At 53.3% G+C, this 26,758-nt stretch overlaps 2 protein-coding genes across 7 annotated transcripts, besides 12 other annotated features; one reads left to right on the top strand and one right to left on the bottom strand.

The window, feature by feature from the left end:
• On the bottom strand, positions 2,913-14,130 carry GET3 (guided entry of tail-anchored proteins factor 3, ATPase). Of its 3 annotated transcripts, none has more exons than NM_001371489.1 (8): positions 14,043-14,130; positions 13,570-13,777; positions 12,578-12,725; positions 5,711-5,859; positions 5,477-5,627; positions 3,932-4,039; positions 3,644-3,841; positions 2,913-3,263 (listed from the first exon to the last, which is right to left on the bottom strand). In NM_001371489.1, exons 2-8 carry the CDS (start codon positions 13,728-13,730, stop codon positions 3,132-3,134), a joined length of 1,047 nt encoding a protein of 348 aa, NP_001358418.1. In that variant the 5' UTR covers positions 13,731-13,777; positions 14,043-14,130; the 3' UTR covers positions 2,913-3,131. The 3 variants fall into 3 exon arrangements, with proteins under 3 accessions (NP_001358418.1, NP_001358417.1, NP_004308.2); NM_001371488.1 differs by having other exon boundaries at positions 14,080-14,130; NM_004317.4 differs by lacking the exon at positions 14,043-14,130 and having other exon boundaries at positions 13,570-13,739.
• Positions 5,672-6,172: an enhancer, noted in NCBI's record as "H3K4me1 hESC enhancer chr19:12855878-12856378 (GRCh37/hg19 assembly coordinates)". NCBI's record gives its function as "activates a minimal SCP1, AML or CMV promoter by ChIP-STARR-seq in primed H9 embryonic stem cells {active_cell/tissue: H9 hESC(primed)}" and the evidence as "EXISTENCE:reporter gene assay evidence [ECO:0000049][PMID:30033119]".
• Positions 13,528-14,385: a transcriptional cis regulatory region, noted in NCBI's record as "promoter|chr19:12847665-12848522 region (GRCh37/hg19 assembly coordinates) targeted for CRISPR interference". NCBI's record gives its function as "positively regulates TRIR gene expression in K562 cells {active_cell/tissue: K562}" and the evidence as "EXISTENCE:mutant phenotype evidence [ECO:0000015][PMID:31784727]".
• Positions 13,574-13,633: an enhancer, noted in NCBI's record as "active region_14076". NCBI's record gives its function as "activates an Ori minimal core promoter by ATAC-STARR-seq in GM12878 lymphoblastoid cells {active_cell/tissue: GM12878}" and the evidence as "EXISTENCE:reporter gene assay evidence [ECO:0000049][PMID:35858748]".
• Positions 13,596-14,191: an enhancer, noted in NCBI's record as "H3K27ac hESC enhancer chr19:12847859-12848454 (GRCh37/hg19 assembly coordinates)". NCBI's record gives its function as "activates a minimal SCP1, AML or CMV promoter by ChIP-STARR-seq in naive H9 embryonic stem cells {active_cell/tissue: H9 hESC(naive)}" and the evidence as "EXISTENCE:reporter gene assay evidence [ECO:0000049][PMID:30033119]".
• Positions 13,754-13,813: an enhancer, noted in NCBI's record as "active region_14075". NCBI's record gives its function as "activates an Ori minimal core promoter by ATAC-STARR-seq in GM12878 lymphoblastoid cells {active_cell/tissue: GM12878}" and the evidence as "EXISTENCE:reporter gene assay evidence [ECO:0000049][PMID:35858748]".
• Positions 14,204-14,303: a silencer, noted in NCBI's record as "silent region_10164". NCBI's record gives its function as "represses an Ori minimal core promoter by ATAC-STARR-seq in GM12878 lymphoblastoid cells {active_cell/tissue: GM12878}" and the evidence as "EXISTENCE:reporter gene assay evidence [ECO:0000049][PMID:35858748]".
• Positions 16,211-16,725: a transcriptional cis regulatory region, noted in NCBI's record as "promoter|chr19:12845325-12845839 region (GRCh37/hg19 assembly coordinates) targeted for CRISPR interference". NCBI's record gives its function as "positively regulates RAD23A gene expression in K562 cells {active_cell/tissue: K562}" and the evidence as "EXISTENCE:mutant phenotype evidence [ECO:0000015][PMID:31784727]".
• Positions 16,345-16,464: a silencer, noted in NCBI's record as "silent region_10163". NCBI's record gives its function as "represses an Ori minimal core promoter by ATAC-STARR-seq in GM12878 lymphoblastoid cells {active_cell/tissue: GM12878}" and the evidence as "EXISTENCE:reporter gene assay evidence [ECO:0000049][PMID:35858748]".
• Positions 16,552-20,596, top strand: TRIR (telomerase RNA component interacting RNase). Of its 4 annotated transcripts, none has more exons than NR_138095.2 (3): positions 16,552-16,923; positions 19,679-19,892; positions 20,168-20,596. NR_138095.2 is itself a non-coding variant. In NM_001329739.2 (3 exons), exons 1-2 carry the CDS (start codon positions 16,579-16,581, stop codon positions 19,889-19,891), a joined length of 399 nt encoding a protein of 132 aa, NP_001316668.1. In that variant the 5' UTR covers positions 16,552-16,578; the 3' UTR covers position 19,892; positions 20,168-20,596. The 4 variants fall into 4 exon arrangements, 3 of the variants coding, with proteins under 3 accessions (NP_001316668.1, NP_076943.1, NP_001316667.1); NM_001329739.2 differs by having other exon boundaries at positions 16,552-16,900; positions 19,815-19,892; NM_024038.4 differs by having other exon boundaries at positions 19,815-19,892.
• Positions 16,625-16,694: a silencer, noted in NCBI's record as "silent region_10162". NCBI's record gives its function as "represses an Ori minimal core promoter by ATAC-STARR-seq in GM12878 lymphoblastoid cells {active_cell/tissue: GM12878}" and the evidence as "EXISTENCE:reporter gene assay evidence [ECO:0000049][PMID:35858748]".
• Positions 16,725-16,844: a silencer, noted in NCBI's record as "silent region_10161". NCBI's record gives its function as "represses an Ori minimal core promoter by ATAC-STARR-seq in GM12878 lymphoblastoid cells {active_cell/tissue: GM12878}" and the evidence as "EXISTENCE:reporter gene assay evidence [ECO:0000049][PMID:35858748]".
• Positions 16,855-16,924: a silencer, noted in NCBI's record as "silent region_10160". NCBI's record gives its function as "represses an Ori minimal core promoter by ATAC-STARR-seq in GM12878 lymphoblastoid cells {active_cell/tissue: GM12878}" and the evidence as "EXISTENCE:reporter gene assay evidence [ECO:0000049][PMID:35858748]".
• Positions 19,203-19,750: an enhancer, noted in NCBI's record as "H3K4me1 hESC enhancer chr19:12842300-12842847 (GRCh37/hg19 assembly coordinates)". NCBI's record gives its function as "activates a minimal SCP1, AML or CMV promoter by ChIP-STARR-seq in naive H9 embryonic stem cells {active_cell/tissue: H9 hESC(naive)}" and the evidence as "EXISTENCE:reporter gene assay evidence [ECO:0000049][PMID:30033119]".
• Positions 20,597-26,758: the final 6,162 nt, after the last annotated feature.

The following is a 26,758-nucleotide window of genomic DNA, read 5'->3' as shown; positions in this document are numbered from 1 at the left end:
CAGTACACACTGTCACAGAACCTTCCAGGGTCACACAAGACACACCTACCTCGACCCCTCCTGCCTCCATCACGCATATATAAGGCAGGTGGACCCTGACATACTAGGCTCTCCTCTTTCATACACACGGCTCTCCCAACGGTCTGAATTCCGTCATGATCACGCCATGTAACAAAGACACCCACACAACCAGCCAAGTGCCAGACCCCACCCAGACCTCAGAATGCCTTCACACACACAGTCATACTCCACTGCAAGGAGGTTTTACTCCCGATCTTCCCTGTGCAAAGATGCAGCCATGATCACACACCAAATGCAAAAACCCTTTCCTCAGTGCGGTGGCACACAATCCCAGGCTCAGAGCGGGGCCTGAGGTTCACCAATCTTGCAAAGACACACACAACAGCCACCCCTCCCTCAAGGGTCCCCTAGCTATCACCGCTGGTGAAATTCACCAGCATTTGTACACCAATATGTGAAGGCAACCCCCTTTCCAACGCTCCCTCCCGGCGGCAGGCCCACACCCACACCCACAGGTCTCAGATACTCTCAGCATTGCCATGAACACACAAGCTTGGGGACACAAAACCTTGTCCTGCATTTGGCATGGATTCTGGGCAGATGTTCATTCTTCACAGACACACCTCTAAAGGGGACACTCCCAGCCTGGTACAAACAGTACCCACTCCCCCTCCATTGCCCAGCCTGAAGAACATTAACACACAGATTGGTGTGGGAGGGGCAGAAGTTCAGGGGTCAAACCCTGGGATGGGCATCCTAGAGTGCTCAGGAGCCCCTCGTGCATTCTACATAGCCCCGCCCGAGGTTCCAAGCCCAGCAGGCTGGGACGCCGTGTTCCCAGACTGGCAGATGTTCACCCTGCCCGGAGTAATTAGGAACCCGCCTGGGCTGGTCACCCTGTGACCCATGCCTTCGCTGTCCAGCTGCCGGACAGCCCATAAATGGGGGCGAGGGGGCAGCTGGGGCGGTGCCGTCAGCTGCGGAACCTGGCAAGGCGGTGGCAGGCTCGGTGCTGATGAGCTCAGTTCTCGATCAGCAGCCCTCACTCCCTAGGAAGTGTCCTTGCATTCACTGAAGCCCGCTCCTCCTTTTCATCCTCCCTACCCCAGCTCACCCGCATCCCCACACACTTCCGACTGCTGAATTCCCGCAGGGGCTGGGGGCAGGCTTCCTGGGCTATTTGATATGCTTACTAATTGTGACAACGAAAAATAACAAACATTTCTTGCGGTTTCCTGTCTGGTGCTGGTATAAACGCCTTGCGTGTTTCATCTCATGGAATCCTTACGGGCATGCTAAGTTGGTCATCTTACTATCTAAGTAGGGAAACTGAGGCTCCGATGTCACATCTCATCTTGTTCGTAGCACAGCTGGGATTTGGATCCTGGCAGTTTGGCGCGGAGCCGGCTGTACCATCGTGTTTGTTTACACATGCCACCCCAACAGGCCCACACCTGCTTGTGCACACCCCAGGGAGTTGGAGTGACAAGTCTAGGCTCCTGGTGGGGTTCCCCTTACACACACACCCTGGCACACCCAGACTCTGGGTCTGAACACTTTTTTTTTGAGACGGAGTCTCACTTTATTGCCCAGGCTGGAGTGCAATGGCGCAATCTCGGCTCAGTGCAACCTCTGCCTCCCAGGTTCAAGTGATTCTCCTGCCTCAGCCTCGCAAGTAGCTGGGATTATAGGTGGGCACCACCACGCCTGACTAATTTTTGTCTTTTTAGTAGAGAGTAGTTGGAGGCTGGCCTCCAACTCCTGACCTCGTGATCCACCTGCCTCGGCCTCCCAAAGTGCTGGGATTACACGCGTGAGCCACCATGACTGGACCTGAACACCACTTTTGTTTTTTGAGACAGGGTCTTACCCTGTCTTGGCTCACTGCAACCTCTGCCTCCGGGGTTCAAGCGATTCTCCCACCTAAGCCTCTGGAGCAGCTGGGACTACAAGCACCCCAACACCATGCCCGACTAATTTTTGTATTTTAAGTAGAGACGAGGTTTCGCCATGTTGGCCAGGCTGGTCTTGAACTCCTGGCCTCAAGTGATCCACCCACCTCGGCCTCCCAAAGTGCTGGGATTACAGGTGTGAGCCACCGCGCCCGGCCTGAACACCGACTCACGTGTGTCCTCAGGAACCCCCTTTCTGTCCCCCCTAGCCAGCTCTGGCTTGGAACTTGTAAACTCTCAAGGTCATACCCCATCCTGAGTCTCCCAAGTGGGGACAACAATAGCAGCCCAGGCAGTGGCAGAGGGAGGAGCGAAGGGCAGGGGATAAGGGGGTCCACTAGGTGCCTTCCAGGCCTGTGTGCCCACAGCCTGAGACCGCTCTGGAGTCAGGATGAGACTTCAGGAGCCCCTCCAGCCGGAGTCCTCTGTCACCCTGCCCACTAACCAGCCCCCTTGCTGCAGCCCTTTGCTGGGAGGGGCTGATGCCATCCCATGGGGGCAGGAATTGGGGGGTGGAGACTGTTAATCCCCAGTCTGGCAGGCCTGGCCTCTCCCCAGGGCGCCCACTAATTCCCAAACCAAACAGCAGGCAGTGCCGGGCCCACTGCCGGCCTAATCTGCTCTGCTCCCCACCAGCCTGGGGCTGGCCAAGGGGCCTCCCAGTTCCCACGCTCTGAGCCTCCAAGGAAGTGGGAAAATGCCTCTGTCTTCCATTCCAGGCTTCACAGGCCCAACAGGGACACCTTAACCCACACAGAATGAGACAAAGGTATCTCTCACCCAAGACACCCTCCTTCCAAAGTTGCCACAATAAACATGCATCTCTATTAGGTCTCTGTTGTGAATGGGCCCCTCTAGATGTGACACTTCTGTCCAGTGCACAACCTGTGCAACTGTACATAAAGGTGCTTACCCTCACCTCCCAATGTCAACAATACAGCAGTTTAAGATCATTTTATTGAAGAGCAAGAGGTGGGAGAGGTAGGGGGCAACTACAGCTCCCCACCAGCCCCACCAGGGGGAATGGACCCCTCCCTGCCTCCTGCCCAAGTGGCTCCCCCTGTATTATGGGGGGGACTTTGTGCAAACTCTGCCCCGAGGGGGTGGGGAGGGTGGAGGGTGAGTGTGAAATGGCAGCGGTTGGGGCTGGCAGCTGTGCTACTGGGCACTGGGGGGCTTGTAGGGCTCCAGGAGGAGGGCCGAGAAGGTGTTGACCTTGTCTGCCCCCCGCACCTCATGGGGTAACAGCGGCAGCTTCACGATGTGGAAGTCTTCATACAGGTCCTCCATCTGCAGCCAGGGCAGAGGGTAGAAGGCAGTGGTCAGGGGGCAGGAAGGCAGAGACAGAGTGTGGATCAATAGAAGCGGTAAAGCTAGAAAGCTTCCAGAGTCAGGGAGAGAATATAGGGCAGGAGCTTAAGGTGTCATAAGTGGGAGCTGCATCACTATGGTCAGAGATCACTGGGCTAGACCCCCTGCTCTCCAGGGTCACAGGGACCTAGGCCAGGCCAGCCACAGTCCTCTATGGCCGGAATAAGGGTGAAGGATCTGAAATGTGGGGGCAAAGGGCAGGAGGCTAGAGGGCAGAGGGCCAGATGGTGGAGCAAAAGATCAGAGAATAAAGGGGCAGAGGTGCCTCTGCTGAGCCAGTGCTGGGTGGGTGGGCACACCTGGTCCAGATACTTGGCCTGGATCTTGTGACGGGCCTCACACATCTTGCAGGGCTTCTCGGGGTCGGGGAAGACGAGCTGGTTGACAATTATATTGTGTGTGTCAATCTTGCACTTGGCCAGCTCCTGGATCAGCCTCTCTGTCTCATACAGGGACAGGAACTCAGCAATGCATACGCAGATGAAAGTTGTCTGCTCCTACAGGGCACGAGAGAGGACAGTGAGGGGCGGGGTCTGCCCCTGTCCTCAGCCCCCGGGCCTCTCACCGCCAGCCAGACCACCACTCACAGGGTCCTTGAACTGTTCGCTGACTGAGCGGATGACGGGCAGCGTCTCCTCCAGCTTGGAGGCCAGCTGGTCTGCGTTCATGTCCCCCAGGCCCAGCATGTTGCACATCTGCAGGGGGGATGTGGGAGGGCTCATAGCTTACCTGCGGCGACCTCCTGGGTTGGGGGTTCACTAAACACCCGAGGGATGACTCCTGATACCTCCCAGTGGTTAAAGGCTCAGGCCCATAAGCAGATTCCTGGGGTTGGTCAAATACTAGCTTTTCCATTTCTTTCTTTCTTTTTTTTTTTTTTTTGAAATGGAGTCTCACTCTGTTGCCCAGGCTGGAGTACAATGGCGTGATTTTGGCTCACTGCAACCGCCGCCTCCTGGGTTCAAGCGATTCTCCTGCCTCAGCCTCTTGAGTAGCTGGGATTACAGGCGCGCACCACCATGCCCGGCTAATTTTTGTATTTTTAGTACTGGTGGGGTTTCACCATTTTGGCCAGGCTGGTCTTGAACTCCTGACCTCAGGCAATCCACCTGCCTCGGCCTTGCGAAGTCCTAGGATTACAGGCATGAGCCACTGCGGCCGGCCTCAGCTTTGCCATTTTTAGGGAACCATAGCTAAGGGGCTTGACCCTCCTGGAGCCTCAGTTTCCCCATCTCTAAACTTTACCTCCCAGATCTGTTGTACCAGATGAGCTGAAGCATATAATGTGCTGAGAATAGTGTCTGGCACACAGTAAGTGCTCAGTGTTACCACCTGAGGCACAGGTCCCCACAGGGGACACGCACACACCCACACGTGCACATACACCATGGTGGGTGGTGCTGGTGGTGTGCAGCACTGTGGGGGCTTTAGGGTTGTCATCGTAATAATAACCCATGGGGGCTGGGCACAGTGGCTCATGCCTGTAATCCCAGCACTCTGGGAGGTCGAAGTGGGTGTACTGCTTGAGGCCAGGAGTTCAAGACCAGCCTGGGCAACATGGCAAAACCCTATCTCTACAAAAAGTACAAAAATTAGCTGGGCATGGTGGTACATGTCTGTAGTCCCAGCTACTTGGGAGGTAGAGGCACGAGAATCACTTGAACCCACGAGGTGGAGGTTGCAATGAGCCAAGATCGCACCACTGCACTCCAGCCTGGGTGACAGAGCGAGACTCCGTCTCGAATAATAATAATAATAACCCATGGGGCACTCTCATGATCTCCATTTGCAAGACAAGGAAGGTGAGGCCCAGAGAGGTGAAGTGATTTGCTTGAGGTCACACAGCAGTTGGGTCACATGGTGAGTGTAGAGGGTTTGAAGGCAGGTTGCCTGGTTCTGGAATGTGCTTTCTGGCTCTGTCTAGGGTATTTAGCGGGCAGGGGCAGGGACACTGAGTCCTGCCTGTGGGGGAGGAAAGACAGCTCCGTCCCATCCCCTCCAGGGAGAAGTCCAGAGTGAGAAGGGGTGGGAAGGAAAGGGAATTGTTAGTGCGCATTTGAGGGTCTGGGGGCCCGGGCCTACTCCCACTCCCGGCTGCCTGGATGGTGCAGGTGGGGGCCCCCGCCGCCTGCCTGTGAGATGAAAGGGCTGATCTGGTTCTTGATCTGCATAAGCCGGCCCAGGCCCCGCTCCACGATGGTGGGGAAGTTGAGCAGCCTCAGGGTGTGGCCCGTGGGTGCCGTGTCAAATACCACCACCGAGAAGTTCATGCCCTTCACCAGCCTGAGGGGAGACAGGGGTCAGGCCCTCTGTGTCCGCTCTTCCCCTTCCCCAGGCAGCCCCCACCCCTGCTGGCTGGGCCTGACCTCATGACCTCGGCATAGCTCATGGCCTCATCGATGCCGGGAAATGCGCTCATGGCCTCCTGCATCATCTTCTTGCCCATGCTCAGCATGTTGTCCTCCTCGAAGAACTCGTCAGGCAGCTCCGCCACGCCCAGGCTGGGGTCAATCTCCTGGGGGCCAAAGGGATGAGACTGAGGTTGCTGCTACTGCTGGGGGAGCCTTCCCACCTGGGCACAGGGCCAGGGGGAGCCTTCCTACCCGGGCACAGGGCCAGAGGGAGCCTGTGGTGGGCTGTGACCACAGGCATTTCATTAGGTCACGGCTGGGGGGACCCTGAGGTAGTACTTAGGGTTTTGTATGGTTGCATAAAGGGTCAAAAACAAGGGGAAAATTGCAAGCTGTGCCCAGGGCCCTCAAAGGGAAGCTGAAACCCACTGCGGGCCATTTACACTGCTACTCCCCACTTGCAACCTGCCACTTGCAACCCCAGATACTCCCATGACTGGGCCATGACCTCTTCCGGATCATCATCCCTCCACTGAGAGACTCCCTGACCACCCTAAGTAACAGCACAGATCCACCGACACCCCTGCCCTGCCTTCCTTTCTCCTTAAGGTTTAGCCCTTAGGAGCTGGGCAGGATAGCTCACGCCTGTAGTCCCAGGTACTCAGGAGAATGAGATGGGAGGATCGCTTGAGCCCAGGAGTTGGACACCAGCCTGGGCAATATAGCAAGACCTATCTGAAAAAAAAATTAGCCCTTCCTCACATCCCTCATGATTCCCTTATCATGTTTATCATCTGTCTCCATAGCAGGAATGTCTGCCCCTCAGGGGCAGGGGTTTTACCATCTAGTTCACTGCTGTGTCCTTAGCGCTTAGCATGAACAGTGCCTGGCACAGAGGTCGTCAGCACATATGGGGAATCCAGCCAGGCGCGGTACCTCATGCCTGTAATTCCAGCCCTTTGGGAAGCGGAGGCGGGCAGATCACCTGAGGTCGGGAGCTTGAGGCCAGCCTGGCCAACATGGTGAAACCCCGTCTCTACTAAAAATACAAAAATTAGCCATGCATAGTGGCGGGTGCCTATAATCCCAGCTACTCTGGAGGTTGAGGCAGGGGAATCGCTTGAACCCGGGAGGCAGAGGTTACAGTGAGCCGAGATCACGCCATTACACTCCAGCCTGGGTGACAGAGGGAGACTCTGTCTCAAAAAACAAACAACAAAACAAAACACAAACATGTATGTAGAATCTATGAAGGGATGGCCATGGCTGGGGTCCCTGGCCAGTCTCAGACTCAATGCCTCCCTCTTTTTTTTTTTTTTTTCCCGAGATGGAGTTTTGATCTTGTTGCCTAGGCTGGAGTGCAGTGGCGCGATCTCAGCTCATCACAACCTCCACCTTCTGGGTTCAAGCAATTCTCCTGCCTCAGCCTCCCGAGTAGCTGAGACTATAGGCATGCCCCACCATGCCTGGCTAATTTTTTTTTTTTTTTTTTTTTTTGAGATGGAGTCTTGGCCGGGCGTGGTGGCTCACGCCTGTAATCCCAGCACTTTGGGAGGCCGAGGCAGGCAGATCACCTGAGGTTAGGAGATCGAGACCATCCTGGCTAACACGGTGAAACCCCGTCTCTACTAAAAATACAAAAAATTAGCCGGGCGAGGTGGCGGGTGCCTGTAGTCCCAGCTACTTGGGAGGCTGAGGCAGGAGAATGGCATGAACCCCAGGGGGCGGAGCCTGCAGTGAGCTGAGATCACGCCACTGCACTCCAGCCTGGGCGACAGAGCGAGACTCCATCTCAAAAAAAAAAAAAAAAAAAAAAAAGAGATGGAGTCTCGCTCTGTCACCCAGGCTGGAGTGCAGTGAGTAGCTGGGACTACAGGCGCCCGCCACCACACCTGGCTAATTTTTTGTATTTTTAGTAGAGACGGGGTTTCACTGTGTTAGCCAGGATGGTGGCGATCTCCTGACCTCGTGATCCACCCACCTCGGCCTCCCAAAGTGCTGGGATTACAGGCACGAGCCATCACGCCTGGCCATGCCTGGCTAATTTTTGTAATTTTTTTTTTTTCTGAGATGGAGTTTCACTCTTGTTGTCTAGGCTGGACAATGGCGTGATCTTGGCTCACTGCAACCTCCGCCTCCAGGGTTCAAGTGATTCTCCTGCCTCAGCTTCCTGAGTAGCTGGGATTACAGGCATGCGCCACCACCCCAGCTAATTTTGTATTTTTAGTAGAGACGGGGCTTCTCTATGTTGGTCAGGCTGGTTTTCAACTCCCAACCTCAGGTGATCCACCCACCTCAGCCTCCCAAAATGCTGGGATTACAGGTATGAGCCACCATGCCCGGCCAATGCCTCCCTCTTTATCTTCCTCCTCTGTCACCTCTTCTTGGTAACTTCATGGGTCCCATGGGGAAGTACCCAACTCGCTGGCCTTAGGGGTCATTCCCTGTTGGGGAGCTTGCCCACTCATCACTGCACCCTCTTCTTATGCTTCATATATTTTAAGCTTCTTTGGACTACTTCATCCCCTCACCTGGCCCCTGTAAACTGTCAGTGTTCCTCTTGGCTGGCACCCTTATCCAGCCCAGCCTCCACAGGTTCCCTCTGCAAACACTCCCTTTCCCCTTGCTGTTGGCAAAATCCCCCACTCTGGTTACTTCCAGCTTTTTTTTTCTTTCTTTTAGAGATAGCGTCTTGGCCGGGCGCGGTAGCTCACACTTGTAATCCCAGTGTATTAGGAAGCCAAGCCAGGCAGATCATTTGAGGTCAGGAGATTGAAAACAGCCTGGCCAACATGTTGAAACCCCGTCTCTACTAAAAAAAAATACAGGCCAGGCGCGGTGGCTCACGCCTGTAATCCCAGCACTTTGGGAGGCCAAGGCGGGTGGATCACGAGGTCAGGAGATCGAGACCATCCTGGTTAACATGGTGAAACCCCGTCTCTACTAAAAATACTAAAAATTAGCCGGGCATGGTGGCATGCACCTGGAGTCCCAGCTACTCGGGAGGCTGAGGCAGGAGAATCACTTGAAATCGGGAGGAAGAGGTTGCAGTGAACCGAGATTGCGCCACTGCACTCCATCCTGGGCGACAGAATAAGACTCCGTCTCAAAACAAACAAAAAAAACCCCCCCAAAACAAAAATTAGCCGGATGTGGTGGCGGGCGCCTGTAATCACAGCTACTTGGGAGGCTGAGGCAGGAGAATCGCTTAAACTCAGGAGGTAGAGGTTGCAGTGAGCTGAGATCACACCACTGCACTCCAGCCTGGGTGACAGAGTGAAACTCAGTCTCAAAAAAAAAAAAAAAAAAGATACCATCTCATACATAGCTCATTGCAGCCTCAAACTCTTAGGCTCAAATGATCCTCCTGCCTCAACCTACCAACTTACTGGGACTATAGGCACACACCACCATGCCCAGCTAATTTTGTTTGTTTTTTGTAGAGAAAGGGTCTCCCTTTGTTGCCCAGGCTGGTCTTGAACTCCTGACCTCACGTGATCCTCTTGTCTCAGTCTCTGCAAGCACTGAAATGATAGGTATGGCTTTCTAGCTCTTTAGTATCACTGCACTTGAGGGCCGAACACTCCTGAAGAGTATTCCCATCTTGCTCCTCACCCTTTTGGAGACGGAGTCTCGCTCTGTCATCCAGGTTGGAGTACAGTGGCACAATCTCGACTCACTGTGACCTCCGCCTCCCAGGTTCAAGCAATTCTTTGCCTCAGCCTCCCGAGTATCTGGGATTACAGGCGCCCACCACCAGGCCCAACTAATTTTTTTTTTTTGAGATGGAGTGTCGCTCTGTATCCCAGGCTGGAGTGCAGTGGCATGATCTCGGCTCACTGCAACCTCCGTCTCCCAGGTTCAAGCAATTCTCCTGCCTCAGCCTCCCGTGTAACTGGGACTACAGGTGCCGGCCACCACGCAAGGCTAATTTTTGTATTTTTAGTAGAGACGGGGTTTCACCATATTGGTCAGGCTGGTCTCGAACTCCCGACCTCAGGTGATCTGCCCGCCTCAGCCTCCCAAAGTGCTGGGATTACAGGCGTGAGCCACCGTGCCTGGCTTATTTTTGTATTTTTTTTTTTGAGATGGAGTCTTGCTCTGTCACCCACGCTGGAGTGCAGTGGCGCGATCTAGGCTCACTGTAAGCTCCACCTCCCGCGTTCACGCCATTCTCCTGCCTCAGCCTCCCGAATAACTGGGATTAAAGGCACCCGCCATCACGCCCGGCTAACTTTTTGTATTTTTAGTAGAGATGGGGTTTCACCCTGTTAGCCAGGCTGGTCTCAATCTCCTGACTTTGTGATCCGCCCACCTCGGCCTCCCAGAGTGCTGGGATTACAGGCGTGAGCCACCATGCCCAGCTAATTTTTGTATTTTTAGTAGAGATGGAGTTCCACCATCTTGGCTAGGCTGGTCTTTAACTCCTGACCTTCTGATCCACCTGCCTCAGCCTCCCGAAGTGCTGGGATTACAGGCATGAGCCACCACGCCCGCCCTTGCTCCCCTCTTCTGAACACAAATCTCCAATGGGCACTTGATGATCCAGACAATTCTGGTTCCCCCTGCTACCTTAATAAGTGTTTATGTGGTATTTTCTCCCTCCTCAAACTTCTATCCCATTCACTGCTGAGACCCTTGCCTGTTCCTTGGTGAGAAAGAGAAGCCATTGGCTGCCAACACCCTCATCTCTGCCCGGGAAGTGCCCCAATTCCTCCTGTTTCCCTCCCAGTCCCTGACCCTGGCAGCGCCCAAGTTCTGGGTCTGTATGCTGGATGGAGCTCATCCCACCTGAGGACTGTCCTCTGCCAGCATCCTCACTCTGCAGCATCTCTTTATTTTATTTTATTTTTATTTATTATTTTTTGTTGAGTCTCGCTCCGTTGTTCAGGCTGTAAAGCAGTGGCGCGATCTCGGCTCACTGCAAGGTCCACTTCCCGCGTTCACGCCATTCTCCTGCCTCAGCCTCCGGAGTAGCTGGGACTACAGGTGCCCGCCACCATACCTGGCTAATTTTTTTGTATTTTTAGTAGAGATGAGGTTTCACCGTGTTAGCCAAGATGGTCTCAGTCTCTTGACCTTGTGATCTGCCCGCCTCAGCCTCCCAAAGTGCTGAGATTACAGATGTGAGCCACCGTGCCCGGCCTTTATTATTTTTTTGAGACAGAGTGTTGCTCTGTCGCCCAGGCTGGAGTGCAGTGGCGCGATCTCAGCTCACTGCAAGCTCCGCCTCCGGGGTTCACGCCACTCTCCTGCCTCAGCCTCCTGAGCAGCTGGGACTAAAGGCGCCTGCCACCATGCCCAGCTATTTTTTGTATTTTTAGTAGAGATGGGCTTTCACCGTGTTAGCCAGGAGGGTCTTGATCTCCTGACCTTGTGATCCACCCGCCTCGGTCTCCCACAGTGCTGGGATGACAGGAGTGAGCCACTGCGCCCAGCCAATTTTTTTTTTTTTTGAGACGTGAGAAAACCTCGTCTCTACTAAAAATACAAAAATTAGCCGGGCATGGTGGTAGGCACCTGTAATCCCAGCAACTCCGGAGGCTGAGGCAGGAGAATCTCTGCTTCCTGGGTTCTAGCGATTCTCCTACCTTAGCCTTCTGAGTAGCTGGTATTACAGGCACCTGCCACCATGCCCAGCTAATTGGTTTATATTTTTAGTAGTGATGGGGTTTCACCATGTTGGCCAGGCTGGTCTCAAACTCTTGACCTCAAGTGATCCGCCCACCTTGGCTTCTCAAAGTGCTAGGATTACAGGAATGAGCCACCATGCCCAGCCCTCACACAGCTTTAAATGCCACCCTTGAGACAGTGACTTCCAAATCAATGCCAACCTCCTCTGGGCTCCAGACTCACATAAACAAGCTACTGTCATGATGTTTACACTTGGATTTCCAGTGGGCAACTCAGATTCACTGTGGACAAAATGAAATTCTTTATTTGTTCATTCTAAACCTACTCCTTTCCTAGTTTTCCCCATCCCAGCTGCTCAGAGAGACAAGAAAGACATGTAATCAATTCATTTCTTTTTCTCACCCAAGTAATCTTACTGGTTTACTTCCAAAATACATCCCTGGTGCGATGTGGTGGCTCATGCCTGTAATCCCAGCACTGTGGGAGGCCGAGGCAGTCAGATCACTTGAGGTCAGGAGTTTGAGACCAGCCTGGCCAATATGGTGAAAACCTGTCTCCTAAAAAAAACAAAATTAACAGGCAGTGGTGGCGCAAGCCTGTAGTGCCAGCTACTCGGGAGGCTGAGGCAGGAGCATTGCTTGAACCTGGGAGGCGGAGGTTGCAGTCAGCCTAGATCGGGTTACTGCACTCCAGCCTGGGAGACAGAGGAGTCTTGAGTGTCTAAAAAAAAAAAAAACCTCAAGTCTGACTACTTCTCCCCCAACATTCTGCCTCCACCAGAGTCCAGGATGTTGTCATCTCTCAACTGGTTACACCCCCAATCTCCTTGTTAGTTTCCCTGCTTCTACCCTGACTGACAATTAAATCTCCACCTGGCCGTCAAAGGGTACTTTTCAAACATGAATTTGGCCACGACATTGCCCTGCTTAAAACAAACAGCTTCCCGTTAATAACCTGGAGTCAATGCCAAACTTCTTAGTGGCCCATAAGGTCCCACACCATGTGGCTCTGATTGGTCTCTCCAACTTCTCCTTCCCCTACCCTGGCTCACTAAGCTTCAGGCACTCTGGTGTGCTTCCTGCTCTGCAATTCCTCATTGGTTCCCTTGTGAGTATGTTGAGGAAGGAGTGAAACACGAGAGACACAGGATATAGAGTGGATAGGACACGGTGGCTGCTGGTGTGTGCGCACAAGAAAGGCTGGAAGAGGCTTTTCCCAGAAGTGGGGGCTAAGCCCTGTTCCACTCACCATAGCAAAGAGGTTGTCATAGCCTTTGACCTTGGTAGGCACCTTTGAGAACTTCTGGTCAAAAGCATCTGAGATGTTGTGTGCTGGGTCTGTGGAGATGATCAGAACACTCTCACGCCCCTTGGAGAGCTGGACTGCCAGGCTGCAGCTGAGTAATGGAAAAGTCAAAAGATAGGGGATGAGGGGATGGGCTCTGTTCCCTGGGTCTGCAAGGGGAGTGGTAGGTTCCCTGGAGCAGGTGACCCGAATCAGCAGGGGCCTTGAGAGGAGAGTATGGGTTATGGTGGGATTGAGCCTCAGTCCCTACAAAGGAACCCTCTCTGATTTATCTCCTGACCCCTCTATGTGGACTAGAGAGGTAAGGTTCAGCTGACTGAGTCTGTCTGGCCTAGTGCCTGCTTCTTTTTTGCTGGGCACAGTGGCATGGCCCAGCGGTCCAGCCAGCATAGCTTGACTCCGTGCCCCCTTCCTTAATAAGCTAAGGGGTCTCCTGCATTCCCTAGTAAGCACAGGATGGTTCAGTCTGCTTGTCCAGGATAATCTGTCCAACGGACACCTCCTGCCTGTAGCTGCCTGGGACAGTCTCATCACGTGCTCTCTCCCTCGCTTTCCACCCTCACTCTCGCCTTGGGCATAAAACACCAAGGTTCACCAAACTAGGATTGCTTGTTCTGGTGCCGCCCTCACCCACAACTCTGGATTCACTCAGGTACGGTCCAGCTGATGGGGATATCTAAGTGCTTCCCCGTCCCCCGGGCGCTGAGTTCACTGTGGTTCGGCACTTGAGCCCCAACACGGATGGTCCAACTCAGAGGGTGCTAGGGCTGCATTGAGGTCTTTCTCATTTGCTCCAGGTAACTTCCAGAGAGTGAAACCCAAAGACCCCCGCCAGCCCCCATGCCCCGGTCGTGGTGGAAAAGCCGGTCCTTGGCCTCCCCTTCGCCCAGTGGTATATCCTACACGCCTCCTGGCCCCCGCCGCAGCCTCCTTACCTGCAGGTGGTCTTGCCCACACCACCCTTGCCCCCGACGAAGATCCACTTCAGGCTGCGCTGCTCGATGATGTTGCTAAGTGTAGGCTCCAGCGGCTCCACATCAGGAGCATCTTCGAACTCCTCTGCCTCAACCCCCCACCCGGCCACCCCTGCCGCCATTTTGGAACTGGCTCACGTGATCCAGCGGAGCGCACCATACGAAGAACCTACAGGGGAAATTCTCTATCACATTCCTAGCGAAGCTAGGAGCATGAGTTAATTTCCTCATTACTTGCCTTTTAGGAGAAATATAAATTATATTTTCACTATTCTTTGCTTCCAGGGTTCACTTTGTCAACCTCTGGTCTATAATTTTCCAAGGGTTCCCCCTACCTAATGAACACATCGGTACGGTCTAGGCTACTCCCTTTCACTGATTGGGCCCTAGGTCTTGCAGCTCTCCTTTCATTGGCTATGTCTTTTCTTACTTACACCAATCACTCTTATGTTCCGGTAGCGCCAACCTCACCTTAGCAACCAGCCAAACACCCAGTCCATGCCCTTTCGGTGAAGTTAGATTCCCGGTCCTCCTTGGCCTGACTCCATAGGCTCAACTTTATGTCCATCATTTTCCCTCTATTCTTCACGGTAGGTCCCAACCTCACCTCAGGTCCGCCCCCTCTGTTATTCAATAGGCTGTGAGCCTCTTGGCTCTTGCCGCAAACCAATCATAGACGAATTGACTCGGTTGGCGATAGGTCCCCGGGCTGATAGTGGCTTAGAGTGGGCGAGTCCACAGAGTCTTGTCCTGTACGCCCTGATCTCCCATGCCTAGCAGACACCATTCCTGCAATTGCGCTCCGTTTCGTAGAAGGAATTCCTAAAAGTCTCCTTGTATTTCAAGAGAAGACTCCAGTATACCATATTTCATGTTTGAACCTCTGTCTTAGAGCAGGAACAGAAGCTGGGTTCCAGGCCCTTGATGGAGACCCCAGCCCATGACACTCTTAACTTTAGAGGGAGACTACAGACTAGAAATAACCCCGACTTCATCTGAATACTACAGCTCATAAAATAAGCTGATTCTCGGGCCGGGCGCGGTGGCTCACGCCTGTAATCCTACCACTTTGGGAGGTTGAGGCGGGTGGATCACCTGAGGTCAAGAGTTCGGGACCAGCCTGGCCAAGATGGTGAAAACCTGTCTCTACTAAAAATACAAAAATTAGCCGGGCGTGGTGGCACGCGCCTGTAATCCCAGCTACTTAGGAGGCTGAAGCAGGAGAATCGCTTGAACCCGGAGGGCAGAGGTTGCAGCGAGCCGAGATTGCGCCACTTCACTCCACTCCAGCCTGGGTGAAAGAGTGAAACTCCGTCTCTAAATAAATAAATAAAATAGGCTGGGCGCGTTGGCTCACGCCTGTAATCCCAGCACTTTGGGAGGCCGAGGCAGGCAGATCACGAGGTCAGGAATCGAGACCAGGTTGAGGCAGAAGAATCGCTTGAACTCGGGAGGCGGAGGTTGCAGTGAGCCGAGATCACGCCACTGCACTCCAGCCTGGGCGACAGAGAGAGACTCCGTCTCAAAAAATAAAATAAAACAAAATAAAATAAAGTAATAATAACAATAATAAAATAAAAAAGTAAGCTGATTCTCAGACGGGGACTTCAGCTCCACAGAGCCAGCTATGTCCCCAACAAATGTGAGCTTTATCCCAGAGATGGTTACCCAACCCAAAGATACCCCTATTTCTACTTGGGGGGCCCAGACTAGACATGCTCTCTATTCCCCAGTTAGGGATTCAAGTTCCCAGGTGTCAGCTGAGCACACAGCCCCAGATGAGGTCCTTCCACTCATAGAGATTATTCTTGGTGTCGTCAGACGGGGATTCTAGCCCTGGAAAGCGAATCTGTTCCTAGCCCCAAGTGAAACCAACTCCAGAGAGCAAGCTACAGCCCCAGTCTCAGACGACAGTCTCATTCTCCGGGAGCCCCTGTATGGGGAACTCCAGCCTGAGTACTGCTGAATTTTGAAAACCCGAGAGGCAGGGCTCGGTGGCTCACGCCTGTAATCCCAGCACTTTGGGAGGCTGAGGTAAGAGGACTGCTGGAGCCTAGGAGTTTGAGAACAGCCTGGGCAACATGACAAAACCCCGTCTCCACAAATATAAATAAATAAATAAATGAATAAATAAAATTAGCCAGGCGTAGTGGCGCATGCCTGTGTTTCCAGCTACTCGGGAGGCTGTGGTGGGAGGATCGCCTCAGCCCTGAGAGGTCGAGGCTGAAGTGAGCCCTGATCATGCCTTTGCACTCCAGCCTCGGAGACGGAGTGTGACTCTGTCTCCAAAACAAGACAAAAAACCAAAAACCAAAACAGCAAGACTGGGCCCGATGGCTCACGCCTGTAATCCCAACACTTTGGGAGGGGAGGCCAAGGCAGGAGGATCGCTTGAGGCCAGGAGTTCGAGACCAGCCTGGGCAATATAGCCAGGCGCCCGTCTCTAATTTTTAAAAAACAAGGCCAGGCGCGGTGGCTCATGCCTGTAATCCCAGCAGTTTGGGAGGCCGAGGCGGGCGGATCACCTGAGGTCGGGAGATTACCAGCCTGACCAACATGGAGAAATCCCGTCTCTACTAAAAATACAAAATTAGCTGGGCGTGGTGGCGCATGTCTGTAATCCCAGCTACTCGGGAGGCTGAGGCAGGAGAATCGCTTGAACCTGGGAGGTGGAGGTTGTGGTGAGCCGAGATCGCGCCACTGCACTCCAGCCTGGGAAACAAGAGGGAAACTCCGTCTGAAAAAAAAAGAAAAAAAAAAAACGAAACAAAAAAACCCGCGAGACGGGGGCTCCTCCCCCTAGCCCCGCCCCTTCGGGTTGGTTCCCTCATTCGCCCCGCCCCCGCTGCGGGCGCTGGAGGGCCTGACCGCTCTTCCCGGCATGCATTGTTCGGGACGAGGCGAGTCGGGCGCCAAGCGCGGGGCCGGAGCGGCCTTCCCGGAGTCCTTTGCGCGGCACCTGGCGACAAAATGGCTGCCCGAGGGAGACGGGCGGAGCCTCAGGGCCGGGAGGCTCCGGGCCCCGCGGGCGGTGGCGGTGGCGGGAGCCGTTGGGCTGAGTCGGGATCGGGGACGTCGCCCGAGAGCGGGGACGAGGAGGTGTCGGGCGCGGGTTCGAGCCCGGTGTCGGGCGGCGTGAACTTGTTCGCCAACGACGGCAGCTTCCTGGAGCTGTTCAAGCGGAAGATGGAGGAGGAGCAGCGGCAGCGGCAGGAGGAGCCGCCCCCGGGTCCGCAGCGACCCGACCAGTCGGCCGCCGCCGCTGGCCCCGGGGATCCGAAGAGGAAGGGCGGTCCGGGCTCCACACTTAGCTTCGTAAGGAGCCGTGGGGGTGGGGGCGGGCGCCACGGCCTGTCTTGGCAGCGGGAGTCGGGGCCCGTGAAGGGGGATCGGGACCGAAGTCCACTTTCCGTTCTGAATGAGGGGCCCGTCCGGGTCACCCGCTGAGGGTGTGGAACTTGGATTCCCGACAACTGGGGTCTAGGGGCGGGAGTGGGGACTCCAGGAGCTTGCCCGTGGGAACTGGGAGCTGAGGAATTGCCTAGGAATCAGCACTGTGGAGAATGAGGAAACGTGGATATCAGGATTCCTGTTTGAGTGGTACCCGGACCTTGGGTCATGGGACCACCACTAATTGTGAGGAAAGGGAGTAAATTTAAGTCTGGACTCTGAGCTATATGTGTTAGACTCAGACCACGTACTATGTAAGGACAATTACTTATCTAGGACAATTGCTTGACTTCCTTGTATCTTATTCGACCAACCTCCATTTATTGAGCAATTTACCTCGTGCTAGGCATTGTGCTAGGTGCTGGTATGCAGTGGTGAGCTTACAGACAAGATCGCTGCTTTCCTGGAGCCTCTGGGTTTGCCTACCCTCATTTTCCCTAGTTGCAAAAATAGACATCATAGCATCTCTTGATGTGGTGAGGGTTTTATGAGGTGATCCTGGAAAAGTGGTTAGCACAGAGCCTGTCTTCCAGGAAGGGCTAAACTGGTGGTTCTCAATTGGGGCAGTTCCCTCCACCCCCACATTTGGCAAAGTCTGGAGACATTTTTGGTTGTCAGAACTGCGGGAGGGGGTGCTAGTGACATCTATGGGTAGAGGCCAGGGATGCTGCTCAACTTCCTACCATGCGTGGGGCAGCGCCCTCCCACCCCCAAACAAAGAATAATCCAGCTCAAAATGTTATTAGTGCCAGGTTGAGAAACTCTGGATTAAGTAAATAGGGCATATATTGATTTTTGGCTCTGAGCTTGCCATGTCTGTGGTGTTAAGATCAAGTCCCTGTAGTGTGGAGGAAAAAGTGTTGAGAATAACAAGACTGGGGGCTCTAGTTCTGGATCCAGCATGTGATTTTGGGCAAATGATCTAACCTCTGCAAGCCTCAGTTTCTTCATTTGTTAAAAATGGGCGTGGGTTGGGTGCAGTGGCTCACACCTGTAATTCCAACATTTTGGGAGGTCGAGGTGGGTGGATCGCTTAAGCCCAGGAGTTGGAGACCAGCCTGGACAATATGGCAAAAATGCATCTCTACAAAAAAAAATTAAAAAATTAGCTGGGCATGGTGCCACACATGCCTGGAGCTCCAGCTACCCAGGAGGCTGAGACAGGAGGATCGCTTGAGCCCAGGAGATTCAGGCTGCAGTGAGCCATGATTGCACCACTGCGCTCTAGCCTGGATGACAGAACAAGAGAGTATCTTAAAAAAAAAATCGGTGTGAAATAATCCCAGCAGGCCAGGCTCTGTGGCTCATCCCTGTAATCCCAGCACTTTGGGAGGCCGAGGCGGGCAGATCACCTGAGGTCAGGGGTTCAAGACCAGCCTGGCCAACGTGGTGAAACCCTGACTCTACTAAAAATACAAAAATTAGCCAGGCATGGTGGTGCATACCTGTAATCCCAGCTACTCGGGAGGCTGAGGCAGGAGAATCACTTGAACCTGGGAGGTGGAGGTTGCAGTGAGCTGAGATCATGCCACTGCACTCCAGCCTCGACAGTAAGACTCTGTCTCCAAAAAAAAAAAAAAATGGAAATAGTCCCAGCAGCACAGGTTACTGAATGCCTGGTTGTCTGTGAAGACTGTTGGAGCCCCTGGAGCGCAGGAAGCCCTCAATCAATGGGAGAAGGTGGGATACAGGATGAAAGGCTAGAGGAAGACTCTTTGAGGCAAGGGTAAGGAAGGAAAAGCGTCAGGACCAGGGTTGGTGTGATACCTGCGAGTGGAGTCCCTTCATGAATGGGAGTAGCAGTCGTCGTTGCATCTTTTTCATTTGTTCATTGAGGGGCCATTTTGGCTGCACCCTCAAAGAGGCCATGCCAGGCTAGGCACAGGGAAGGCAATGTTGCTTGATGTCTAAGGATGCTGTCCAGAGGCTTCGACCCACCTGACCCTGAATCAGCTCCATTGTTTGTTGTTAGCATGACCTCTCCTGAAAGACTTTCCTCATCTATGAAAAGGGGGTGGTTCTTTTTTTCTTTTCTTTTTTTTTTTTTTTTTTTGAGACAGAGTCTACTTCTTGTTGCCCAGGCTGGAGTGCAATGGTGCAACCTCGGCTCACTGCAACCTCCTCCTCCCAGGTTCAAGCAATTCTTCTGCCTCAGCCTCCCAAGTAGCTGGGATTACAGGCGCCTACCACCACTCCCGGCTAAGTTTTTGTATTTTTAGTAGAGATGGGGTTTCACCATGTTGGCCAGGCTGGTCTCAAACTCCTGACTTCAGGTGATCTACCCGATTCTACCTCCCAAAGTGCTGGGATTACAGGCCTGAGCCACCGCGCCTGGTCAAAAAGGGGGTGGTTCTAACTTTCATCTTAGGGTAGCTGTGAAAATGAAAGGAGATGATACATCCACAGCACTTGGCACAGGGCTTGGCATACAGTACATGCTCAATAAAGGGAGCTGTTGCCACCTCTTGTGGTCCCTGCTAGGGAGGGTGAGGCCTTGGCGTGGAAAGTGAGAACAGAGCTGGTCCCTACTGAGGTGGACACTCTTCTTGCTCCCTGGGAGGGCACCGCGGGCCCAGGGCAGGCGCTGAGTCGCGTGTGCTCCTCTCTGATTGCTGCGCAGGTCGGCCGGCTGGCGGAGCTGGGCGCGGCGTCAGGACGGGCCACCAGGCCGGGCTAGGAAGGTGTAGTGGGCCTCAGCGCCGCCAAGGGCGGTCCCGGCTCCTGTAACCGTTGCAGTCTTCTGTCCCTTCACCCAGGTGGGCAAACGCAGAGGCGGGAACAAACTAGCCCTCAAGACGGGAATAGTAGCCAAGAAGCAGAAGACGGAGGATGAGGTGAGCCAGCTTGGTGCAGGGGGTCCACCCACATTGCCTTTCCCTTCCAGCTTTTGCGCCCAGCCTTCTCCCTCCCTGTCTGGTATCCAGGCCTTTTATGAGTGTGCCTGGCAGGGTAGGAGGGCTGTCAATGGGTCCCCAGATAACTTGACTTTATAATCTTCAGCTCAAACCCAGAGTCTTCTGGGTGACACTGGGAATGGGTCACCTGTCTCAGGGCAGTCCTGACCCTGGTTCCTGGCACCCCCGTCCTAACCCGTATCCCCTTTCCACAGGTATTAACAAGTAAAGGTGACGCGTGGGCCAAGTACATGGCAGAAGTGAAAAAGTACAAAGCTCACCAGTGCGGTGACGATGATAAAACTCGGCCCCTGGTGAAATGACGCCCCTCCCCCACCTGCCCATGGCCTGGGACTCTCTGCGATGTACATAACTATTTAATGCAGCGGCAGCGGCGACAGCCTTCCCTGAGAGGACTTAAAAGCAGAAGGAAACCGAGATGCTTCCCGCAGCCGTGGACGATTCTCCAGGACTCTTTTTTTACCTTGAGCACTTGCCTCGTGAGACTTCATAGAACAGTGGTTTACTGTCCCCCCCTTCTCACCTCCTCATTCTCTCTGGCTCTTTCTGTCTTCCTCTTCTCACCCTCCTCCCTCCCCTTAGCCATCACTTCTGGGAAGTAAAGAACTTGACTTAGTGCCGGAGCTGTGTGCTTGGTTTGTCTTCTTTGCGCTGTCGGACCTAAGCCTTCCCCCTGTTGCTGGCATTGTACCTGTCAAAGCCTGGGCCTGACCCAGTAAGGAGCGGGATATGGAAGGGTTAGGAAGGACAGGGGCACATCCCCTCCTGTAGGCCTGGACTTTCCCCAAGACCTATCTCCCCTCACTGCTGCATCTCTACCGTGCCACCTTAGGCTCACTTTCTCTTCACAGTTCCATTTTGGCTTGGCCAAAGCTGTTGCATTGTGCATTCAGCAGACACTTAGGAGCATCTATTATGTGCCAGGGCTCTGCAAGGCTCTGGGACAACAGCTGGGAGCACGCAGACCACACCCTCCCTGCCCTTACAGAAGGAGACAGACACAAACAAAAAGGGGAAGCCCTTTTGCAGCTAGGGAGGAGGCGGGTATGTCTTTTAGGTGACATTTGATTAGAGTCCTGAGGGAGGTGAGGCAGAGTCCCAGGCAGAGGGAACAGCCAGGTTGGAGACAGCTTGGGCCTGATGGGGGCCTCCTAAGTGAGGAGGATGGATGAATGGATTATGGTGGGGAGAATTCAGGAATTTTTTTTTTTTTTTTTGGGAGATGGTCTCGCTCTGTCGCCCAGGCTAGAGTGCAGTGCTACGATCGCAGCTCACTGCCTCACTGCAGCCTCCACTTCCTGGCCTCCTCCCACCTCAGCCCCGCAAGTAGTAGGGACCACAGGTTCACACCACCATGCTCTGCTAGTTCTTTAATTTTTTTGTAGAGACGGGGTCTCCCTATGTTGCCCAGGCTGGTCTGCAACTGCTAGGCTCAAGCAACCCTCTCACCTCGGCCTCCTAAACTGCTAGGATTACCAGTATGAGCCATTCCTGGCCCAGGATTTTATTCTTTTTTTTTTTTTTTTTTTGAGAGTCTTGTCTCTGACACCCAGGCTGAAGTGCAGTGACGCGATCTCGGCTCACTGCAACATCCACTTCCTGGGTTCAAGCCATTCTCCTGCCTCAGCCTCCCGAGTAGCTGGGATTACAGGTGCCTGCCACCATGCCTGGCTAATTTTTGTATTGTTGGTAGAGACAGGGTTTCACCATGTTGGCCAGGCTGGTCTCGAACTCCTGACCTCAGGTGATCCACCTCGGCCTCCCAAAGTGCTGGGATTACAGGCCTGAGCCACTGCGTTGTGCCCAGGATTTTATTCTTAAGTGAGGAGAAGGCTTTGGGGGGTATTTGAGGTAGCAACATCATACGTTTTATATCTTCAGGGGATCCCTCTGGCTCCTGTGGGGAATAGACTGAAGGGGGCTGAGGGTAGAACCTGGGAGACTGAGGAGGGGAGTGGAGGGGACTGCATCTTGGTAGTAGAGGAGGTGAGGAGTGCTGAGAGCTGGATTCCATGGGGCTGTGTGCTCCACTGGGGGAAGGGCCACTCAGTCCTCTAGCTACTTGAAGCCCTTCCAGGGAGGCTGGAGTCTGTCCCTTCTGTATGCATACACCCTCAAGAGAAAGAGGGCGAGGGGGTTCTCTGTCCAACCTTACAGAACATGATCATTGGCACAGACCTAGCCCTTCCATGCCCTCCTCCTGGCTCCACTGCCCATCCTGTTGGAGCCAGAAGCTGCCTGGCTCCACCTGTTCTCCACCAAACCCACACAGGTTTTAAGATGCCCTTGCCTCCCAACTCCTCAAACCTGCTGGACCTGGAGCAACGTTGGGGGGTCCCCCAGCTATAGGCTCACCCCAGTCTTCCCAGGCAAGAATGGCAGCAGCTGAGCAGCCTTGGCACTCCTACCCAGCTTAGGGCTGGGCCCTCTTCCACTTTCTTTTTTTTTTTTTGAGATAAAGTCTCCCTCTGTTGCCTAGGCTGGAGTGCAGTGGTGAGATTACAGCTCACTGCAGCCTCAACCTCCTGGGCTGAAGCGATCCTCCCACCTCAGCCTCCTGGGTAGGTCTACAGGCATGTGCCATCAGACACGGCTCATTTTTTTTTTTTTATTTTTCGTAGAGACGAAGTCTCACCGTGTTGTTCAGGCTGGTCGGGAACTCCTGGGCTCAAACCATCTTCCCACCTTGGCCTCCCAAAGTGCTGGGATTACAGGTGTGAACCACTGCACCCAGCCCCCTCCTTCCCGTTTTTTTTTTTTTTTTTTTTTTGAGACAGAGGCACACTCCGCCCCCAGGCTGGAGTGCAATGGCGCGATCTGGGCTCACTGCAACCTCTGCCTCCCAGGTTCAAGCAATTCTCCTGCCTCAGCTTCCTGAGTAGCTGGGACTACATGAGTGTGCCACCACACCTGGCTAATTTTTATCTTTTTGGTAGAGCCGGGGTTTCCTGACCTCAAGTGATCTGCGGCCTCAGGGATTACTGGCATGAGCCACTGTGCCTGGCCCCTCCTTCCACTTTCAATCAAAAGAGGACCAAGACTCAGAGAAACACGGCCTCAGCAAGTAGAGGGTGGAAGGCACAGGGCTGTGGTCCTGGGAGTGGGCTGAGGTGGGCCTACCCCGGTACACCACAGGCTCTCAGATTTTGCCAGATGCAGTCTGTGCAGGTTGGGGTGGAGCACTGACTCATGTAACAAATGATGAGCATCTGCTATGTGAAGTCAGCTACCTAAACAGACAAAAACCCTGCCCTGCCAAGAATGGTGGCTCACATCTGTAATCCCAGTGACTGGGGAGGCCGAGACACAGGTGGATCACTTGAGCCCAGGAGTTCGAGACCAGCCTGGACAACACAGCAAGACCTTTCTTGCTACAAAAAATAAAAGTTGGCTGGGCGTGGTGGCTCACGCCTGTAATCTCACCACTTTGGGAGGCTGAGGCAGAAGGATCACTTGAGGCCAGGAGTTCGAGACCAGCCTGGCCAATGTGGTGCAACCCTGTCTCTACTAAAAATACAAAAAATTAGCCGGGCGTGGTGGCGCGCACCTGTAATACCAGCTATTCGGGAGGCTGAGGCAGGAGAATGTCCTGAATCTGAGAAGGCAAAGGTTGCAGTGAGCCAAGATTGTGCCACTATACTTCAGCCCGGGCAACAAAGTGAGATTCCGTCTCAAAAAAAAAAAAAACAAACAGCCTAGCTGTCGTGGTGGCTCACGCCTATAATCTCAGCACTTTGGGAGGCCAAGGCGGGCAGATCACAAGGTCAGGAGTTCAAGACCAGCCTGACCAACATGGTGAAACCCTATCTACTAAAAATACAAAAATTAGCTGGGGGTGGTGGCCCACGCCTGTAATCCCAGCTACTTGGGAGGCTGAGGCAGGAGAATCGCTTGAACTGGGGAGGCAGAGGTTGCAGTGACTACACTCCAGCCTGGGCAACAGAGTGAGACTCCATCTCAAAAAATTAAAAAAAAAAAAAAGAATAGGATACCTTTCCTCTTTCGCTTCCTGCTAACACACAATAAGGTTTTTCTGCTTTACTTTGCATGTGGGCTGAAAGGTCTCTCCCTCCTACTTTGGGGATGCTAAGCTAGCCCAGGTGTGACTTTGGCCTTGGGGGTGGAGTATGGGGGGAGGGAACACAGGAAGCTAATGGAGCCATCCCTACCTCCTCCTCCCCCAAAGCCACCAGCAGAGACTGGATCTTTAAAAAGCAACAGAAGCCTGGGAAGTAGGTCGCCCTGCAGCATCTCAGCCTCTATTCTAGTGTCAAGAGGCAGGAGAGGCTGAAAGTCCAGGCACATCCCTTTACAGTACTTACCTGCTCTGACCTGAGAAAAGTCTGAAGAGGGAGGAGAATCATATCCAGGTTTTGGTGAGTCACACAGCCCTGGCTTCTGACTATTCTAGTGCCTGTTGACTGTGTGATCTTGGGTAAGTCACTTAGCTTTTCTGTACTTCAGGTTCTTCATCTATCAAATAGGGGTAAAATAAAGAAGCATCTCTAGAGTCAAGTTCTAAAGTAAGGGCAATATTCATAGAATCTAACCCTGCCATTGTTTAAAACAGCTAGTGCTTTCCAGGGTGAAGAAGTTGGCTTGCGTTTGGGGACTGTGTTAAGTTAGTTGAAGTGCTGACCTTTGAACTCGGGGGACAGTGTGATGAGAGGCTTGGGAAGGGAGGCTGCTGTAAATTGAGAACACGTTTGTCTCACATTTCAGATTCGCGGTTGGACACCAATTCTTTTTTTTTTTTTTTTGAGACAGAGTCTCGCTCTGTCGCCTAGGCTGGAGTGCAGTGGCGCGATCTTGGCTCACTGCAAGCTGCGCCTCCTGGGTTCACGCCATTCTCCTGCCTCAGCCTTCCGAGTAGCTGGGACTACAGGCGGTCGCCACCACGCCTGGCTATTTTTTTTTGTATTTTTAGTAGAGACAGGGTTTCACCGTGTTAGCCAGGATGGTCTTGATCTCCTGACCTTGTGATCTGCCCGCCTCGGCCTCCCAAAATGCTGGGATTACAGGCATGAACGTGAGCCACCGCGCCCGGCTGGTTGGACACCAATTCTGTGAGTTTCTTTTGGCACAGAGAGCTTCTAATTGAACTAGGGTAAGTTTGCCAGGCATAGGGCTGTTGTGAGATTTGCATGAGATAACATTTGGCCTTTTTTTTTTTTTTTTTTTTTTTTGAGACAGAGTCTCGCTCTGTCGCCCAGGCTGGAGTGAAGTGGTGTGATCTTGGCTCACTGCAACCTCCGCCTCCCGTGTTCAAGCGATTCTCCTGCCTCAGCCTCCTGAGTAGCTGGGATTATAAGCGCAGGCCACCACTCCTGGCTAATTTTTTTGTATTTTTAGTAGAGACAGGGTTTCACTGTGTTAGCCAGAAGATGGTCTCAATCTCCTGACCTCGTGATCTGCCCTCGGCCTCCCAAAGTGCTGAGATTACAGGCATGAGCCACCACATCCGGTATTAATGAGATAACATTTGGAAACCACTTGACATGCAGTAGGTGCTTAAGAAATAGGAAAAAAGGCCAGGCATGGTGGCTCATGCCTGTAATACCAGCACTTGGGGAGGCCAAGGCAGGTGGATCACCTGAGGTCGGGAATTCGAGACCAGCCTGACCAACATGGAGAAACCCGGTCTCTACTAAAAATACAAAATTAGCAGGGCGTGGTAGCACATGCCTGTAATCCCAGCTACTCGCGAGGCTGAGGCAGGAGAATCACTTGAACCCGGGAGGCAGAGGTTGTGGTGAGCCGAAATTGCACCATTGCACTCCAGCCTGGGCAACAAGAGCAAAACTCCACCTCAAAATAAAAAAAAAAAAAAAAAAGGAAAAAAGGCCAGGCACGGTGGCTCACACCTGTAATCCCAGCACTTTTTGGGAGGCCAAGGCGGGCAGATCACAAGGTCAGGAGTTCAAGATCAGCCTCGCCAATATGGTGAAACCCTGTTTCTACTAAAAATACAAAAATTAGCTGGGTGTGGTGGCGGGTGCCTGTAGTCCCAGGTACTCGGGAGGCTGAGGCAGAATAGCTTGAATCCCGGAGGCGGAGGTTGCAATGAGCTGAGATCCCACCATTGCACTCCAGCCTGGGCGACAGGGCAAGACAGTGTCTCAAAAAAAAAAAAAAAAAAAAAAAAAAAAAAAAAAAAAGAAAGAAAGAAAGAAATAGGAAAACTGGGCCGGGCACAGTAATCCCAGCACTTTGGGAGGTCGAGGCAGGTGGATCACCTGAGGTCAGGAGTTCAAGACCAGCCTGGCCAACATGGCAAAACCCCATCTCTATTAAAAATGCAAAAAATTAGCCTGGCGTGGTGGCAGGCGCCTGTAATTCCAGCTACTCGGAAGGCTGAGGCAGGAGAATCGCTTGAATCCGGGGGCGGAGGTTGCAGTGAGCCGAGATTGAGCCATTGCACTTCAGCCGGGACAATGAGAGCAAGACACCATCTCAAAAAACAAAAAAACAAAAAAAGCCAGGCGCGGTGGCTCACGCCTGTAATCCCAACACTTTGGGAGGCCAAGGCAGGCAGATCATGAGGTCAAGAAATCAAGACCATCCTGGTCAACATTGTGAAACCCCATCTCTATTAAAAAAAATTAGCCGGGCGTGGTGGCGCATGCCTGTAATCCCAGCTACTCGGGAGGCTGAGGCAGGAGAATCGCTTGAACCCGGGAGGCGGAGGTTACAATGAGCTGAGATCGCGCCACTGCACTTCAGCCTTGTAACAGAGCGAGACTCCGTCTCAAAAACAAAACAAAACAAAACAAAGAAATAGAAAA

This window comes from Homo sapiens, chromosome 19, assembly GCF_000001405.40.
Source record: "Homo sapiens chromosome 19, GRCh38.p14 Primary Assembly".
Classification (NCBI taxonomy): Eukaryota; Metazoa; Chordata; class Mammalia; order Primates; family Hominidae; genus Homo; species Homo sapiens.
The sequence above is the reverse complement of the archived record's forward strand: the minus strand, read 5'-3'. Positions and strand labels throughout refer to the sequence as shown.

Excerpts from the sequence above, each read along its gene's own strand:
- GET3 (NM_001371489.1), bottom strand. The coding sequence starts at position 13,730 with ATGGCGGCAGGGGTGGCCGGGTGGGGGGTTGAGGCAGAGGAGTTCGAA. Across the intron at positions 12,726-13,569 it reads GTGGGCAAGACCACCTGCAG|CTGCAGCCTGGCAGTCCAGC; the intron begins GTAAGGAGGCTG and ends TCCATTACTCAG. Across the intron at positions 5,628-5,710 it reads AGCTATGCCGAGGTCATGAG|GCTGGTGAAGGGCATGAACT; the intron begins GTCAGGCCCAGC and ends GTCTCCCCTCAG.
- TRIR (NM_024038.4), top strand. The coding sequence starts at position 16,579 with ATGGCTGCCCGAGGGAGACGGGCGGAGCCTCAGGGCCGGGAGGCTCCG. Across the intron at positions 16,924-19,814 it reads CGGGCTCCACACTTAGCTTC|GTGGGCAAACGCAGAGGCGG; the intron begins GTAAGGAGCCGT and ends CCCTTCACCCAG. Across the intron at positions 19,893-20,167 it reads AGCAGAAGACGGAGGATGAG|GTATTAACAAGTAAAGGTGA; the intron begins GTGAGCCAGCTT and ends CCCTTTCCACAG.